Source organism: Homo sapiens, chromosome 12 (assembly GCF_000001405.40).
Source record: "Homo sapiens chromosome 12, GRCh38.p14 Primary Assembly".
NCBI lineage: Eukaryota > Metazoa > Chordata > Mammalia > Primates > Hominidae > Homo > Homo sapiens.
In genome coordinates, this window is record NC_000012.12 from 115504507 (window position 1) to 115523546 (window position 19040).

At 44.2% G+C, this 19040-nt stretch overlaps 1 long non-coding RNA gene across 2 annotated transcripts in view, besides 5 other annotated features; it reads right to left on the reverse strand.

Moving 5' to 3' along the window:
- Nucleotides 1-19040, reverse strand: part of LOC105370003 (uncharacterized) — a 389555-nt gene that overhangs the window by 130996 nt on the left and 239519 nt on the right. For both annotated transcript variants that reach the window (XR_945389.3, XR_945388.3), the window contains exon 2: nucleotides 3762-3908. This is a non-coding gene — a long non-coding RNA (uncharacterized LOC105370003). The remainder of the gene's footprint in view (nucleotides 1-3761; nucleotides 3909-19040) is intronic.
- Nucleotides 2638-2932: a silencer, noted in NCBI's record as "tiled region #2221; HepG2 Repressive DNase matched - State 5:Enh". NCBI's record gives its function as "represses a minimal TATA promoter and a strong SV40 promoter by Sharpr-MPRA in HepG2 cells {active_cell/tissue: HepG2}" and the evidence as "EXISTENCE:reporter gene assay evidence [ECO:0000049][PMID:27701403]".
- Nucleotides 2638-3409: a biological region, named in NCBI's record as "Sharpr-MPRA regulatory region 2221".
- Nucleotides 2810-3409: an enhancer, noted in NCBI's record as "OCT4-NANOG-H3K27ac hESC enhancer chr12:115945121-115945720 (GRCh37/hg19 assembly coordinates)". NCBI's record gives its function as "activates a minimal SCP1, AML or CMV promoter by ChIP-STARR-seq in primed H9 embryonic stem cells {active_cell/tissue: H9 hESC(primed)}" and the evidence as "EXISTENCE:reporter gene assay evidence [ECO:0000049][PMID:30033119]".
- Nucleotides 3410-4010: an enhancer, noted in NCBI's record as "OCT4-NANOG-H3K27ac hESC enhancer chr12:115945721-115946321 (GRCh37/hg19 assembly coordinates)". NCBI's record gives its function as "activates a minimal SCP1, AML or CMV promoter by ChIP-STARR-seq in naive and primed H9 embryonic stem cells {active_cell/tissue: H9 hESC(naive and primed)}" and the evidence as "EXISTENCE:reporter gene assay evidence [ECO:0000049][PMID:30033119]".
- Nucleotides 7410-8117: an enhancer, noted in NCBI's record as "OCT4-NANOG-H3K4me1 hESC enhancer chr12:115949721-115950428 (GRCh37/hg19 assembly coordinates)". NCBI's record gives its function as "activates a minimal SCP1, AML or CMV promoter by ChIP-STARR-seq in naive H9 embryonic stem cells {active_cell/tissue: H9 hESC(naive)}" and the evidence as "EXISTENCE:reporter gene assay evidence [ECO:0000049][PMID:30033119]".

The following is a 19040-nucleotide window of genomic DNA, read 5'->3' on the forward strand; positions in this document are numbered from 1 at the left end:
ACTCGGCTCCAGCCTGACCCTGCAGAGAAGAAAGGGGAGCAGGGAAAAAAAAAAAAAAAAGCAACGACTAATTCTTCACAAATTAGGACAATAATAAAGTTCCTTTCAAGTGTCAGCGCATATTCTTAGCAAGAGCGTAACACCTAAATCAAGTCCAGGCTGTAAAAACGGCATAATAGCAGGAAGCCAGGCTACAGGCCTGACTTCCTCTGGGGAGACAGGGGATTTGTGGGGGTGTCCGCAGGCTGGACAGGCAGGGATGGAGCCAGGCAGGGCCCAGCTCACTGGGAGGCACACACCTCTGTCTGGCCTCCACACTGAGCCCCATCTGGGGTTGCCCATACAGCCCCCTGCATAGGCCTTTGGCACTAGAGCTTTTAACAGTCATCAGCGTACTTCTTGTCCACCCTCTCAGCCTGTCTTCTTAGAATGGCCCAAGTGCACCTCTGAAAATGCTAGTCAAATGGGCAAAATGCACCTCGTGGAACAACACGAACAGGGAGCCCAATGGCCCAAGGGCCCAGCTGCTGCGCTCTGGAGCTCCCTGCATGAACAGGAGGCCGTGTGTTCTGTGGGCCATCCCCAGCCAATGTCTGAAAACGGCAGCATACTAAGGCAGGCCCGTTCCTGGGAGACGCAGAATTCCTTTCATAGTTCAAGGGCTCCCCATGGCTTTGATGAATCTTTCTTGGACAGCTTGGCAGCTTGGGATGCTTCCACCCAAGCTTCTCTGTATCTCCTTCACTAGGAATCAGACCTGTATACCAGTCCTCCAGCTAGCTCTCCTGCCTTTCCCAGCTCTCTCTCCATTTTCTCTCCAACAGGCACTTCTCCTAAAAAAAGCTTTCCACATTTAATCTCGTCTTGGCACCTGCATCTTGGAGGACCCAGATGAGCACATTGGGTGGTGTCGCTTCTCACTGTAACACCCTTCCAGGAGTTTCTTTTTTTGCCAGAAGAAAATCTAAATTCCTTGCACTGGCCTACAAGGCCCATGACACTTCTCTAACCCCAAATACTCTTCTCCTCCCCTTGATGGCATTCTTGCTATTCCTTGAACATCCCAAATTGTTTCTGCCTCGGGGCCTTTGCACCTGCTCTTTCTGCTGCCCAGACCACTCTTCTCTGGGCCTGGAAGCTTCTCACTCATCCAGCAGGTCTCAGCTTAAACATCACCTCCTCAGAGAGGTCTTACTTGATCGAAACAGGCTTCCTGTCTGTGCTCCCCAATCAATACCTACTCCTTACGCTGCGAAAACACATCAGACTTTGCACTTAGTTGATTTGTCTGACAGCCCTTCTTGAATGTAAGCATCTTGAAATATCATAGCCAGCATTTACTGAGGACTGACAAGGGGCCAGGCACTGGGTAAGAGCATCACATGTTTTAACTCATTCGATCCTCTCCCAATCCCTGTGAAGTGTAGGTAGTACTGTTGTTGCAGATGAAGAAACTGAGGCACAAGAATAAATGAATTTCCTGGGGTCATAAAACTGGGCAGCAGAAGAGCAGGGCCTGGATTCAGGCTCTCTGGCTCCAGCATCTGCCACCTCTGTGGGGATGCCGTTTTGCCTCTTGTGAAAAGATGACACCACTGTATACCAACAAGGATTTCCAGGGCTTCGCCCTGTGTCTGGCACTGAGTACACACTTTGCAAAATAGAGCTGCCAGAGGCGTTTAAACAACAGCAACTCCATCTTCAATAGGGGCTGGGTAAAATAAGGCTAAGACCTTACTATGCTGCATTCCCAGAAGGTTAGACATTCTAAGTCACAGAATGAGATGAGAGGTCAGCACAAGATACAGGTCATAAAGACCTTGCTGATAAAACAGGTTGCATTAAAGGAGCTGGCCAAAACCCATCAAAACCAAGATGGTGACGAGAGTGACCTCTGGTCGTCCCCACCGCTACACTCCCATCAGCGCCATGACAGTTTACGAATGCCATGGCAACATCAGGAAGTTACCCTGTATGGCCTAAAAAGGGGATGCATGAATAATCCACTCCTTGTTTAGCATATCATCAAGAAATAACCATAAAAATGGATAGCCAGCAGCCCTTGGGGCTGCTCTGTCTATGGAGTAGCCATTCTTTTATTCCTTTACTTTCTCAATACACTTGCTTTCACTTTCTTTACTCTATGGACTTGCCTCAAATTCTTTGTTGCACGAGATCCAAGAACCCTCTCTTGGGGTCTGGATCAGGACCCCTTTCCAGTCACAGAACTCATTTATTGTGTGCCTCTTGCAGACCAGATGCTTTCCATAAAAAAGCCCTATTCCCTTTGCACAAGGACCCCTAGAAGATGGGCCTGCAGTTAGTCTCCATTTGCCAGCTCCCCCTATTCTCTACCCTTCTCTGTCCCGTGCCCCTGAAGCTGACCCCTGTGGATGACACCTCCTAGCACCTCTGTGATCTGCTTCTAGCTGGGGTCATCTAATAGGAAGCACTGGCAGGAGATCAAAGGGAAGAAGGAGAAAAGCCAGGTGTTTCTTCCTTGTTTCCTCCCTAATTCAGAACCACATTTCTGGAGGGGTGTGTCCGTCCCTGACCTGTGCCAGGTGACTCATCCACCATGACCCCGGCCCTGCCTGGGCTCCTGAAACCCTTCTTCTTTTCTTCCTACTTCAGCTTATGGATGTGAACAGCTCTCCACTGTTGCTAGACTCCTGATGCCTCAGCACCTCATGTTCATGTGATTAACCCTGTCCACCCCGCTGTAAGTAGTCCCTTAATTAAACTCTCATAGTTTGAACCATCTAGGGCAGATTCTATCTCCTGCAGGCAGATGGATGAGATTGCAAGCATTAAGATGACCTATCCTATTTTACAGATGAGGACAAAGAGGCTTAGCGATTACAGGCACCAGCCCAAGGTCACATGACTCAACTTACTGGGAGCACTCTAGTGTGCCTGCCCCCAGTTCACCTCCTCTGTCCATTTCTCATGCTGCTCATTGTTACAAAGAGCCATCTGAACCCAGTGGTTAAGAGGACTGGCTTTTGAAGCCATACAGACCTGGGTTCAAGGCCCAGTTCTGTGACCTGGGGCACCTTATCTGCTCCCGGCTGAGCCTTATTTTCTTCATCTGAAAAATATGGAGAATTACAATGAGAATGCAAAGTAACTGACGTAACAGTTTTCGCCTTCCAAGGTTGCAGTTAGGTTTAAATGTAAATGTAATGTAAACGTAATGCATTGTAAATGTAAATGTAAATGTATATATCATTCTTAGCAGAATGCCCAGAACATGGTAAGAGCACAATAAATATAGCCAGGCATCATCATCGTCATCATCATCATCAATTATTATTATTGTTATTAATATTCCCTGTCCACCAACATCATTTCCAGACTTGCTACTCCCAGAAGATAACAGGAGAACAATTCACAGAAGACAAGATGAGTTAATAAGCCCAAGCTATTCATAGCCTCTGCTAAGAGTTTATTCTTACCAGGGCAGGACCGCAGACCCCAGAGTAACTAACTGGGTCAAAGTTGGACCTGACCCCTCCTTTCCTGCCCCCCTCCTCAGCCCTGGCACAGGAATTATCACATCGCCCATCGCCTCTGAAGGCCATCCCTGCTGTGAGGCTTTGATAGGGAAAGTGTGAAGAACAAAGACCATTGTTCACAGAGGCGGCTGGTGCCTCTCAGGCCCCAGGCCAGCTTCCCAGGGGTGAGGTCTGGCTCCGAAGACACAAAGACGAAAGTCATTAGGACCAGGGACAAACAATGACGGAATCTCTTCTATTTACCTGAACTGGAGGGGGCTGCCAAGTGGAAAACAATGAGGCTGAGATGCTGGACATATTCTCCCTCTGCCCTCTCGTCACTGAGTTTCTTTTGAAATAGTGGGACAGTGTATGGCCCAGGAGGCTCAGGGATTGGCTTCAGATCTGTTTCTGGAAAGAGAACATATGACCGTGTTTAAGAGAGTGGGCTGGGACACCCAGCTGCCTGGGTTCCAATTCTAACTCCATCAAAATCAGCCAAGTAACTTGGGTTTAGTGACGTCATTCTCTAAACTTCAGTACCTTCAGCTGTAAAGTGGAGATAATAATCATACCTCCCTCTCCTAAGCTGCATGTAACTGGGACCTAACTGAGGGCTTCTTATAGGATGTCAATCATTATTATCATAAATAGCAGCAGCAGCAGCTCTGTGTGGCTTTGGGCAAGTTCCCTGCCCCTTGCTGAAACTTCATATTTATATCTAGCAAATGGGAATAAGAAATCAGTTCCAGAAATCAGGTGAGAATTAATGAGGAGATAAAAGCCGCTTGGAAACTGGAAGGCTATACCGAATTGGAAGCAAGATCTCATGAAAAATCTAGTCCTGGCTCACCTGTGTGTGGCAGTCCACGAAACTTGGCCCACGTGTCCTTCTTCCCTGGCTACTGCCCCCATATGCAAAGGGGAGATAGGGACAGCGTCTTCCTTGCGGGGTGAGTGCCCTGAGGGTTCAAGGGGGTAACAACCCTGATAAAGCACTTAGCATGTGCTTTGTGCATATCGAGTGCCCAACACGTTACCGATTATTTTACTATTAAGACATTGAAGTTTTCAGTAAGGCCAGGAGCAGACATAGGGAAGTAACGAACAGAAATTAACATGCTGCCCAACCAGAATGGCTGCACTGCCCAAGCATACCCATTTTATGGAAGGAAAAACTGAGATCTGGGAGACAAAGTGGGTAGGAGAAGGAGATGCACTTCCTAATGTCCTGTGGCACCTGGTGAGTTCAGGTCTTTTTTACTGGAGTCCTTACCAGCCAGGAAAAATGGCAATGGCAGGAAATGTAGAGTGAATCCTCATCACTCCTTGATCCCAGCATCCTCACTCCTTTGCTGTCACACACCCAGGTGTTGATGTGGTTTAGAACAGACAGACATGTCCTTGTCCCTGAGTAGGGAAATCAACTCAGACTAGCTGAAGCCATCTCTCAGGCCTGCTTGTATTGGCTTAATTCTTAAGTAGGTGCATCTCATGGTGGCAAGATGTCCACCAGCAGTTCCCAACAGATATTCTACCAGCTCTGCAATCCCAGTGGGAAAAAAAAAAAAAGAGTTCTTCTTTCCTATTATTTCCAGCCAGAATTCTAGCATTGTTGGTTGCCATTGGACTGCCTTGAGTCTCATGACCCTGCATCTATTCCTGAGGTCCAGGAGATGAAATTTGCTGATTGACCAAACTGGGACAAGAAGTAGGTCCCTTCCCTTTGGAAGTCAAAGACTAGAAGTGAGGGAATGAATGGTATCCTGAGGGAAAATCAGGGTGCAATTACCAAGAGAGGTGAATATACTGACTACTTCCCTATAATCTAGTTTTTACCATTATAACTTTAAATATACAGAATCATAGAGCTGTACTCCTCTGTGTCTGCGTTTTTTTCTCCATACTGTGTCTGTGGGATTTATCCATGTGTTTGCATGTAGCAGCATTTCATATTTCACCACCAGACAGTATTCTACTGTGAAAATACATAGTAATTCATGTATCCATTATGCTGTGTGGGTATTTAAACTGTTTCAAGTTGTTTGCTGCTGAGAACATTCTGAGTACAACTCTTAGTGCACATAAGGACATGTTTCTGTTTGATGGGGTTATGGTGCTGGTTCAAGGCTCCTAGTTCCTTTTTAAAATTCCAAATTCCTTTCTACCAAATTCTTCTACAAGCTTAACTTCTACTCGAGTTTCTAACCTTCCAGCCTGCCCTCCAGATTATGGACTTGCCAGCCCCCATGATTATGTGAGCCAGTTCCTTGTTAAAATCTTAAGATAAATGTACACACACACACACACACACACACACACTATTGGTTTTGTTTCTTTGGAGAAAAGGCTCCAACCCACCTCAAACTTTACTCTGTTAACAGGAATATACCTAGGCATCATTGATAACTTGCTTGAGAATGAGGCTTGATAAGAAAAAAAGTGGAGGTGACATAAGAAAACACTGTAGTAAAAACAAATTCAAAGAAAGGCCAAAATGACATCTTGATTTTTAAGCCTGCAAATACCTAAAAATGTCAGGAGACACTGAATGAGCACTTACTGCACACCACATTTGTGCTTATTTTACGGATGAAGAAAACTGAGGCTCAGAAAGAGGATACGGGTCCTGTAATTTGCACAACTACTAAAAGATAAAGGTTGGATCTATTTAACATCAAATGGATGCTCCTAACCAATAAGCTCTGCTTCCATCTCCTTTTGAAGGGGCAGTTTGGGAAACCCCTGAAGGCTAGCTTTCACCTTTGAGATCAGTGTCTTCTTGGCGTACCTCTAGGGAGAAATATGTAGCCTCACACCCACATGTGCACCCAAAGCCATATCGCGCATTGGAGACATTGAGTAATGGATCTAATTCTTAACCCCAATCTAATCCTAACCCTCTAGTCAACCACCCAGCAATGGCTTTAACCACCTGACTCATGGTTGCATATTTTAATGTGCAATGGTAATAATTGAAACACAATTATCCCAAGTCTCTGCCACCAGCCAGTAGCAAGGCAAGAAGTCAACAGTTTACAGAAAGGGCTGAGACCCTCGCTCCACATTTCTGACTGCAGAACCAAGGTTGTCCTGAAGCCAAGGTTGACCTCACATGCCATCTGGTTTGCGGTTTCCAGACTCACCTCTGTAGTCTCACCTTTCCAGGTTGTCATCTACTCAGTGGCCAGAGGGCTTTTGACAAAACACAAACCTGATCACGTCACTTTCCTGCTCACAGTCTTTCTATGGCTCCCTATTACCTTTAGAATAAACTTCACAGTTTGGTCTAAAAGGCCCTCCATGATCTGACTCCTGTTTATTGTTCAGGGCTCCTGTCTTATTGTTTCTTGAACTTTCTGCTCCAATAATCCTGTATTATTTGTAGTTGCCACAAACTCGGTTTACTCTTTGAAGCCTCCATGCCTTTGCTTTGCTGTTCCCTGTGTGTGGAAAGTCCTTCCCCTATCCTGTCTTCCTGAGAGCTCCTCTTCATCCTTCAAAACCCAGCTTAAGCAACGTCATTTCCTCTGCCTCTGAAGCCTGGCCTCCCTTATGGAATTAATCCCAACTTCTCCTGCCTACTTTATTATTGCCCAATTCCCCACTCTCATGCTTCCAATGTGAGCACCCAGGGTTCTCTGTACTTCATAGCCCTTAACACACACTTTCTCATGTGGCTTGTTTACTGCTTTGTCTTCCCAGCTAGACCTTGGCCTCCTTGAAGACAGAACCATATCTACTGTGTCCATTATCATATCCCCATTGCCAGCACAGTGCCTAGCACACAGTAGTGCTCAATAAATATGGTTGGGAAAAAAAAGGAAGAAAGAAGAGAGAGAGGAAGGGAGAAAAGAATCAAGTGTTCTAACTATTCTATTAGACTGTGGATTTGCATATTGATCTCTATCTTAACAGACCCAGGTACAAGTCAAGACACACAGTAGGTCTTTCATAAACATTTGCTAAATTTAAAAAGTAGCACTGCAGATGCCCCTACAAAATCCAGCATGGCCCCACCACTTTAAGCTAGCAGCCCTCATGCCTTCATTCCCATTAGCTACAGGTTAAGAACACCCTCCAAGCTTTCCTCTTCCCCCCCCTGCAGTCAGAGTGCCTTTGTCTTCCAACACAAGACCCCTTCAGTGATTTTGTTTTTCATGGAAAAGCCAGGCAAGTTCATTACATTGTGTTCCTGCCTTGGAGATCATTGTCATTCATCCAACATCAAAGTCAGAGCCATGATCAGCTCATTTAAGACTTGTTCCACCCATATTTTCTTACAACCAGGAAATGGGGAATTTCCTTCATTTTTTAAACCATCCCAGTGAGTCTCTGCCACATGGCTTCCTTTACAAACTTTTCTTGAAACACAAGGATGGAATCATACCTCCCTCACCACTAGTGGTCATTAGGGGCCCCAGCCTTCCTCTGATCCTTATCAAACACTTGTCCAGCACATTGTAATCACAGTATTTTTTATTTACATAACACCTTTCTTTGGGGGCCAGGGTTGGGCTGTAAGGGAGTGAAAGCCAGATTGAAGCCTTGCATAGATTTTTGCTTCATTTATCCTGCAAGGCTTGCAATGGTGATCTTTAATGGGAAAACATAACAAACCTCTCTAAACAGTTAGAGAGAAGGGTGATTTGCCTACAGAGCCAAGGCATGTGCCAGGATGGAAAACAGCTGCCTGACCTTCTGTGCCTTTGTTCCATGCTGGTTGTTATTTATTTCCCAGATTCGTAAGTCTCTAGGTTTGAGTTATCATTCACTTGAGAGCTAGCAATTCAAATAAGTTCCTGTTACCCATATTCCCTGCTGAGTTTCCAATTTTTCCTCCATCAGCATCTATGGCACCATGCTCTGCTGGTTGACCTCTTACCTCCTATCATCGGCCTTATTTGAGGATTCCTCCTCCTCCTTTGTCTTAAATGTTCTATTTCTGAGCATTCAGGTCTCAAGCCTTTCTCATCTCACTCTTGGTCACTCCATGCTCTCTCTCAGCTTTGATGGATAATTCCAAAGTCTGGAACTACAGCCCAGACCTAAATGAGCTCCAGATGTGAATGATGTGTTAGGGTAGGTTAAGCTGCTATAACAAACAATATCCAGATCTCCTGGGCTTATAACAATAAAGATGTATTTCTCATTCCTGTCACAGTCCAGTGCAAATCAGCAGGGCTAGCTCCGCTCCACATAGTCATTCAGGGACCCAGGCAGTTTCTGTATTATGGCTTTGCCATCTTCCAGGGCAGTGATTCTCACACAGAAACATTTGGCAATGTCTAGAGATACTTTTGGCTATCTGGAGGCGGAGGCAACTTGACATTTAGTTAGTAGAGTTTAGGTATGCTGCTAAATACCCTATAATACACAAAACAGTCTCCCATAACAAAGAAGCATCTGGCCCACATTATCAGTTGAAACAATCCGCTCTAGGATATCAGAATCCTCTACTGGATCTTCTGCATCTGGCTAGCAGGTAAGCAAGGAGAAGTCCTGGAAGATTATGTGGGAGTTTTAGAGGCCAGGCCTAGAAGGCGTATATGCTACTTTTACCCATATTTCACTGAACAGAATTCAGTCACATGCTCTTACCTAACTGCAAGAGAGACTGGGAAATGAAGTCTACTTGTGTGGCCAGGAGAAAAATGACCCAACTTTAGGTAAAGACATGATGTGTCCCTGTCATAGACAGCTTAAACTCAATGTGTCCCATCCTGAGTATGTCACCTTCTCTAGGTCTCCCAAATCTCCCCTTCTTTCTGCGTAACTCACATTCGTCTACATTAATTCTCATCTGTCCTCCATTCAGATTCAATCTTATCTCCTTCCATGGACAATAACTTTATCTCAAAGGAACAACTTCCTCATGGAACACCCCCAGACCCCCAGATTATCCAAGGCCAGCTCTGGAATATCTAAGTAGTACCCAGCTGTTACTATCACATTGCTCTGTTTATTTTCCTTCATAGCGCTTAGCACCACTGTGTGTGTGTATGTGCGCGCGCGCGCGCACGTGCGTGCGTGTGTGTATGTATTCACTTTCTTGTTTGTTATCTATTTCCCACACTAAACTGAAGGCTCAAGAAGGGTGGGGTGCTTATTTGTCTTGTTCACTGCTATTCCCAGCACCTTGTAGAATGCCTGACACATAGTAAGAACTCAATAAAGACTTGTCGAATAAACAAATTAATCCTTCCTGTACAAAACAGTTTGATTGGTCTTTCTAAAATACAGGTGAGGCCGTAGCACTTCCCCATTCTAATCTCCTAAAATATTTAAGTTCAAACTCTTCAGCCTGTCATTCAAAGCCATTCATGATCTGGCCCTATTCTACCCTTCCACATTTTCCTCATATATTCCTAGCTATGTGCCTTATACTTTGAGCACCCTACAATTCAGCTCACAAGTCTTTGTATATAACACGTCCAATACATTTTGTTTGTTTGTTTGTTTTGTTGAGATGGAGTTTTGCTCTTGTTGCCCAGGCTGGAGTGCAATGGCGCGATCTCGGCTCACTGCAACCTCAGCCTCCCAGGTTCAAGCGATTCACCTGCCTCTGCCTCCTGAGTAGCTGGGATTACAGGCACACACCACCATAATGAATTTTTTTTATACTCAGGTCTCTATCTTTGCATATACTATTCCATTGCCTGGATACTTCATTTTCCTTCACTTGGCAAACTACTACTCATTCCTCAATACGCTGTTCTTTCTGATGACCCTGGTAGTCATTCACTCTCTCCTCTTCATTCCCTATGTACTCTTTGAAATACACTGCAATTGTTTTCTCTGTGGTTGCTTTCTCCCCCGTTAGACCATGGGTTCCTCATGAAAAGGGAGACTCTTTTAGTTGATTGTGTGGCCATTTCCCACCACAATGCTTAGTAGAATGCTGGGCTCCAAGCAGGTGCTCAGAACATGTGTGAGGAAATCGAAGGTGGATGCATGGATATTCTGGTCAGAATCTCCATGTTCTCTGGCCATTTTCTCGAAGGAGCCAAGAACCCAACATGGTTATGCTGTGCTTTCCCTGGGATCACAGCCATATTCACTGCAGAACCAACTGGTGCTCAGAAACATCTGCTGCTGGATCCAAATCACCAGATTGAGTGCAACTGGCAATCAATTGATTGATCACTGGAAGCAAAATGAGTGGAGGTGCCAGGTCACAGGGGAGCAGGGAACAGCCAGACCCAGCACTGCTGGCTACACCCCTGATGTCAGTCAGCAAAGGGGCTCCAAAAAGTTTAGCCGGGCTGGCCACTACCTCCTGGTCAGGGAATTCTAAAAACTTCTCTCATGCCTAACTCTTGTTAGGCACGTCAGATCTCAGCTTAAAAATGCTACTTACTCAAGGAGTCCTTCCTGATCCCCAAGACCGTGTTAGAGGTCCCAGGTATACAGGGCTCTGTGATGCCCCTTTATGGAGCAATCACTGTTGTAAGCCTGTCTGCTCCATCAGAGTGTAAGTTTTCATGGGAGCAGATCTGGGTCAGGCTTATTCTTTGCTGTATTCTCTGTATTTCCACAGTCCCTGAAACAGAGTCAGCTCTCGATATCAGTTCGGGTCCTATCAAGGAAACAGAAACCACTGTGGGTATGTGAAACTGTGGGACTTTAATGCAGGGAAGGGATTACCCAAGGGATGGAAAATCTGAGAGGCCAAGGGGATGGTGAGCGACTCAGAGGTTAACCAAAGCGGGAGTTCCTGCCACCCCAAGACTGGGGGACAGAAGGAAAAGGAGATGTGACTGAAGCCCAGAATTGGGGTCTCCTGGTGGGAAGTGGAACCACAATGGGCCTTGTGGAGACTGCTGAATACAAAAAGAAGATGCAGTGTCCTGGGACAAAAGTAAGGTGTATTAGTCTGTTCTCATGCTGTTAATAAAGACATACCCAAGACTGGGTAATTTATAAAGGACAGAGCTTTAATGGACTCACAGTTCCACATGTCTGGGGAGGCCTCACAATCATGGCAGAAGGCAAGGACAAGCAAAGGCACATCTTACATGGTGGCAGGCAAGGAGAGCTGGTGCAGGGGAACTGCCCTTTATAAAACCATCAGATCTCATGAGACTTATTCACTACCATGAGAACAGCATGGGAAAGACCTGCCCCCATGATTCAATTACTTCCCACCAGGTCCCTCCCATGACAGGTGGGAATTATGGGAACTATAATTCAAGATGAGATTTGGGTGGGGACACATCAAAACCGTATCAGAAGGGGAGAAAATACTCTGGGCATTCCCTGTCCCCTGCCCTCCAATATGTCATGAGTACCACCAGTGCAAACAAAGTGATGGAAAAGCTGGGACCTGCAGCTTGCAGAGACCAGCTCCTGAGATACAGAGACAAGCAAGAGAAGGGTGAAGAATAGGTCTGACAGCAGATGGGTTCTGGACCCACTCTTAGGAGACCTGGATGACCTTCTGCCTTGGGACGGTGCATTAGTCATTAGTCATGGTGAGTGAGGTTAAACTGCAATAACAAAAACACCCCTAATTTCAGTGACCCAGAACAACAAAAGTTCCTTCCTTGTTCATGCTACATGCAAGACCCTCAACAGGAGTGTCTGCTTGTCATTGTTCAGTGGCTCATGCTGACAAAGGCACCGTGCAGACATGTGCTTCCATGACCATTCTGGTAAGAGAAGAAAGAGCTGTAGAGATGTGCACTGGCAGTTAAGTACTTCCACTTCAAAGTTACATCTTTCACTTCTCACATGTCACTGGCCAAGCAAGTCACATGTTCATAATTAATTTTAAATGATAGGGGAAATGTAATCACCTCATATCCTCTAAAGAAGAAGAAAATTGGAAATAGAGGTGAGCAGAAATAGTTAATGTTTATCACAGCTCTCTTACCTGGCTCCTACCCAATTCCAGAGTGTCTGCCAGTTATTGTCACTACCTAAAACACCCCCACCTACACACAACACATATTTCCAACTGCCTCCCTGGGGACCCATTGAGAATGATGCTATAAAATTATATTTATTTGCAATAAGAGATGATCACACTACACTGATTTTGAAAACAGCAAGTCATAGAAACTTAGCACCTTAAAACAATAAGTGTATTATCTCACAGTGTCCCTGGCTAAGAAACTCAAGAGTGGCCTGACTGGGCAATTCTGTCTCTGAAGTTCTCCTGAAGTTGCAGTCAGATGTTGTTGAGGACACAGTGTCATCTGGAGGTTTGACTGGGGCTGGAGAATCTGCTCAAGATGACTCACTCATATGGCTGGCAAGTTGTTATATATACTACAGCACCATATTTTGTTTAAAAATTATGGATATCTTATATTTTTTATAATAGTAGCTAGCCACCAGCATGGACCCTAAGGATCCTTGCCTCCTAATCCTTGGGTCGTCTTCATCTACATTCCCACACTATGTCAGAGTTGGTCTCTGTGATCGATAGAATATGGCACACATGATGGAGTATGACTTCAAGTCTAAATAAAAAATGTCTTTGCTGCTTCTGTTTTGCTTCCTCTTTGATCACTCATTTTGAAGGAAGCCTGCTGCCATATTGTGAGGGCACTCCAGCAGCTTATGGAAAGAAAGGTCATCCTGGTGAGAAACTGAGGTCTCCTACAAACACCTAGAACCAACTTCCCAGCCATAGGGGTGTCCAAACTTGAAAGCAGATCCTCCAGAGCCAATCAAGCTTTCAGATCAGACTGCAGTCCCAACAACATCTGACTGTAATTTCATGAGAGATCCTGAGCCACTACTGCTCTGATAAGCTGCTCTTAAATTCCTGACCAGTGGAAACTGAGATAATAAAATATATTGATTAAGTTGCAAAGTTTTTGGACAATTTTTGAGATACTCATGTAGACATCTATAGGGTATGCAATGGTTTGAATGTTTTCCTTACATTTCATGTGTTGGAAACTTAATTCCTAAATTCATACATTGATGTGTTTCAAGGTGGGGCCTTTGAGGAGGTCATTAGGATTAAATAAAGTCATCAGGGTGGGGCACCCAGGATGAGACTGATGGCTTTATAAGAGAAAGAGAGATCTCAACTAGCATGCTGATTCTGTCTCGGCATGATATGCCTTCCACCATGTCGTGATACGGCAGGAAGGGCCTCACCAGACGCTAGCACCATGCTTTTGGACTTCCCAGTCTCTAGAACCATGAGCTAAACAAATTGTTATTCTTTATAAATTACCCAGTCTGTGGTTTCAGTTAGAGCAAATAGACTAAGTTATAGAAAATAGACTAAGACAGGATATATGTATATATCTTCAGAGAAAATTTTTAACAGGATAATATTATGGGAGGAGGTATTTATTTTCTTCTTAGTGTATACGCAATCTTTATGTTTTCTAAAGTGAACACATATTACTTGGAATAGAAGAGAAGACAAACAGGAAGAAGAAGAGGGAGAAAGAGAAACAGCAGCAGCACTTGGGTGATAAAGAGTCTTTTATTAGCTGCTTCAAGCACGAAAATAAGCTAGACTGTGCTACTGAGTCTGTATAGCTGCCAGTGTAGATAATTTGTTAAGGAAGATGACGGAGCCAAAGGAAGAACCTGCCAGTGTTCATCTTGGGCCTCCCCATCCAGTTAGCTCTGCTTTGAGCTGCTCAGAGAATGTGTTTGGAAGCACTGTGATGCTGGAGACCCATGGCCTGGAAGGGGCGGGGATGTTGCATTTGGAAAACCTAAAGGTTTCTGAACTGGCAAGATATGTCAGCAAAAAGCCCTTGCCTGTCTAGACAAAAGTTTGATTTTGAATCAAAAAGGGAATGTTTGCAAATAGGAAAGCAGTTTAAGCATTTCTTTCTTCTTTGAAAATAACCATGAATTTTTAACTATCAACCCTAAAGAGAGACAGCGAGACTCCAGCAGTGACACCAGGGATTTTAATCTTGCCCACCCTCTTGGATGGATTGTGAGATGGGGCCATTTCTGAGATTGGACATTGACTCCTTGCACTGAAGAAAGAGGTTTAACAAGGCCCCAGGGCATCCAGGAGAAGAGACAGCTTTCTATAGCAAACATCTAAGGCTTGGGAATTGGCATTACTCAGGCAGCCTGAGAAAATGATCAATTTGACTGCTGACAAAGGGAAATCACTGTGCCAAGATTTGCTGACCTTGTGGGGAAAGAAATCCATGTTGGTTCACCTGGCTCCGATGGTAAGGGTTCTTGTAGGTTGCTGTCTGAAACCACAGTTTCAGCTGAGCCTCAGGGTTCAAGGGAAGGCCTGCTCTGGATGTGGTCCCCCTGAACATTCACTGGCTCTGTTGGCTTGACCCAACCCTTGGCAGAGAAATTGAGCATTTGAGACTAAGCCGGGTGAGTAGGTTAGATTCATGTGGTTGTAAGTGATGGAAATCTGATGGAGGTTTCTTAGGTAGGAGATACTCAAAATAGCTAGGTTGGAATGTAGCTGAACTTGTGGCAGTACTAGAACAGGAAAAAAGGTCCTTGGGGACCCAGGTGGGACCTTTTCTTTACCCCTTGTTTCTGTCTCTGGCTACAGGCTGGCTTCATTCCTCTCTCTTTAACTGCAAACAGACTCCAGTTGCCTCTCCGACCTGCATAGCAGGCATCCCACTGTGCCCAGGTTTGCAGGTTATTTATTCTACCACTAAAAGGGAATGAATCAATATGCATGTGAGTGGGTGTGTATTTTATTTCCTCTCTCCTTATTCTAAGTTATCAGGGAGAAACCTCTAATTGGCACATCTTGGGTAAGGTAACTGCCATGGTCTAAACAGGATAACTAATGAGTTTGGACTTATCAGGCATACAATGGTGGCCAGGGCCCTTAGCTGGGGGTGAGGCAGTCATGACACCTTGGGGATTCTTTCCAAAAGAATTCTGCTCCCCTATATAGGGGGCCCATGCACCAGTGTGGAGGACTGAGCTATTGTTCTCACTCCAAGCAGCTGTGAATCTGAACCTACTTGTCATTCTTTGATGCCTCTCCACACAGCACAGGTACCAGCGCTAAGATGTATTTTTATTTTTCTGTAAATCTTTTCCCCTGCTAAACTTAGCACAATGCCAATGAAATCACAAGCTTAATGTGATGAGAGGCAATACCAGACAGACAGGGTTTGAATCCAGCTCTGCCACTTCCTTGCTGTGTGACCTTGGACAAGTTGATTAACCTCTCTGTACCTGTGTTTTTTTCTTTCTTTTCATTTTTTTACAAAATATTTATTAAAGTGGTACGATGTACAACTTCTTATTTGTCATTTGGAAGTCCTTTATTATAAAAGCAATTCTTTTGTCTTTTGACAAACAGCTGCCACAGAGGTTATTCTATTTTTTTGTTTTAATTTTAGTAATTTTGTTGTTAATTTGTAATTTTGTTGTTAATTTGTAATTTTTATGGGTACATAGTAGGTGTGTATATTTATGGGGTACATGAGATGTTTTGATACAAGCATGCAGAGTGAAATAATCATATCATGGAGAATGGGGTACTCATCCCCTCAAGCATTTATCCTTTGTGTTACAAACAGTTCAATTATGCTCTTTTAGTTTTTTTAAATGTACAATTAAGTTATTCTTGACTATAGTCATGCTGTTGTGCTATCAAATAGTAGGTATAATTCATTCTTCCCACTTTTCTTGTACCCATCCTCTGATTTTTTTAATTATTATATAAAGTAGGCATAATGGTAGTAGCTAGATTATAAAAATGTTTTGAGAATTAAACGTAGACATGCTTAATATCATGCCAGGCATTAGCTAAGATGACTCTTAGCTAATAGCAGTAGCCATAGCAATGATAGTGATAGTAGTATTGCTATTGTTATCATTATCCATGTACCATATGGATATCATGACATGATATCATATCAATGACATGAACAAAAACACAGAATTTACAAATGACCGCCTATGTAGTTCATCTGGAAAGGAAGTGATTCCTGACATAAATTCTCCCTAGCAGGGTTCTCCACTGTTTAAAAATAAACGTTGTATAAAGCTAAGGATCTATATTTTCCAGGTCTATAGATGACAGTGTGATGAAACAAGGGGAAGGCAACTAGATGGTGTAATAGATGGGCATGGAGGGGAGGACGAGAAGGCAGTAGAGGGTCACGGTTAAAGGACAGGCTCAGCAGTAAGGCCAACTTGAATTCAAAGCATGCACCCATAGTATCATTTTGGACAAGCAATGTAACCTTTCTATATCTTAGTTTTCTCAATTGTAGAGTAGGAATTTTAATAATATTCATCTCTTATAAACATCTGTTGGTTTTCAATATCCGTTCACCCTTCTAAAAAGCAACATAGCCTGGTGCAGTGGCTCACATCTGTAATCCCAGCACTTTGGGAGGCCAAGGCAGGAAGATCACTTCAGCCCAGGAGTTCAAAACCAACCTGGGCAACATGGCAAGACCCTATCTCTACAAAAAATATAAATATAAATATAAAAAAAAAAAAAAAAAAAAAATTAGCCAGGTGTCATGGCATGCACCTGTAGTCCCAGCCATCAGGGAGGCTGAGGTGGGAGGATCGCTTGAGCCCAGGAAGTTGAGGCTGCAGTGAGCCTTGAGTGTGCCATTGCACTCCAGCCTGGGTGACAGAGCGAGACTCTGTCTCAAAAATATTTGTAAAAAGAAAAAATAAATAAAAAGCAGCACTCTGAATTTCTTTCAGAAAAAAATTCTCTTCCCAATTTTCACCCGTGGTTTGGGTAGGGGAACCCTACTGATGAGCATGATTTGTACAATGCATCCTGTGGTCTCAGGGATTAGCTTGGAGATGGGCACATGAGTCTTCAAGAGGCAATGAGATATCCTGAGACTTTTGCTAATGCTTCTGGAAAAGAGCCTCTCGCTTTGCTTCTCTCGAATACAAAACTAGAGAGAAATAACGATTGAAGTCCTGGCAACCATCCTGTGTCCTTGTAGAAAGATGCAGTGTGAGAAAGGGGCCTACGCAGGAGAGAGGGAATCAGTCAGACACGGAGGACAACAGCTGGGTGCTGGATCGTCATTCCTGAAGCTGCTTGACCCCAGGACTTTTCAATTTCAGAAGCCAATAGTGTCGACAACTATATAACTTTTCAGTTATGCCTTTTTGGCACAAACCAACCAGAACTGGGTTTTCTAGCCCTTGCAACAGAAGCCCTAAATGTTCCTCTTACTGATCAGATTAAATGAGAAGTCAAGTCTCCTAACATACTTAGCACATAATAAGGCTCCCACACAGGAAGTTACTGGGGTTTCAAGGTGACTAGAAGGAAATCTTAGTACCAGGCAAACTGACATGCTGGCTGAATCCTAAACCTTTTCCTTCCTTTCTAAAACCAACATTTTTTCAGCCTATCTAAGAGTTAAACAGACAACAGCACACCAGCCAATGACCTGCTAGGCTAATTAGCCCAGAATTACAGGCGTTATGTGGGCTTACTGGACTTGCCAGGAGATGCTGTTTTGCAAATTTGGAGTGAAATATTTAATTAATCAAAGCTGCTCAGCCAGTTGTCATAGCAAGTCAGCCAGTCAGCATGCACCCACCCAGGCAGGGGCCAGGGCTCTGAAGGAAGATGCCAGTGCGAACTTGTCCTAGGCCTTCCCTCTCCTTCACCACGGAAACCGATCAAAAAGTATCAGCCATGATGAAGAATGTAGAACACTCGCTTTTGGCACCTGACATTTCACAGCTCCAGGGTGTTCAGGGTGTTCAGGGAGTCTGGTGGCAGGCTGACATCTGTCCCCAGGGTTTCCACAGCACCATGCCAGAGCGGTCAAGATTACATGCTTTGGAGAGGGAACATTCCCACTGATGGACCAGCTCAGGGAAGAAAAGATCAGGTTGTGGCTTTGTTTTAGATGTACATATAGCAATTTATTTTTAACTGTTATAATGCATATTTTAAAATTTAGTTTATTATTTTGCACATTTAAAAATAGGGAACATCTTGCATATTTCGATTAAAAATAAAAATAATAACAAACTGCTATAGTAGGCAGGATGCAGTGGCTCACACCTGTAATCCCAACACTTTGGGAGGCTGAGGTGGGAGGACAGCTTGAGGTCAGGAGTTCAAGACCAGCCTGGGCAACAGAGGGAGAACACATCTCCACAAAAAAATTTTAAAATTAGCTGGCCATGGTGGCGCATGCCTGTAGTCCCAGCTAAGTGGGAGGCTGAGGTGGGAGGATCCCCAGAGCCCAGGTGGTCAAGGTCACAGTGAGCTATGACCATGCCACTACATTCCAGCCTAGGCAACAGAGTAAGACCCTGTCCCCCCACAAAAAATTGCAATAATGGATTTATATGTTGTGTTTACTTTTACAAACACATATACACATAGACACGTACATATAAATCCACTTAATCTTCACAACACTCCTAGGAGCTACATCCTGTTATTATCACATCTATTTTACCAATGAAGGAGCAGAAGCACAGAGAGGTTAATCCACTTTACAAAGTCACACAGACAGCAACAAACCAGGATTCAAACTGAAGCAGTGTGCCTTGGAATCTGTGCCCTTAACCTTGAGGCTGAACTGCCTTTCACTGCTTCTATGTCATTAT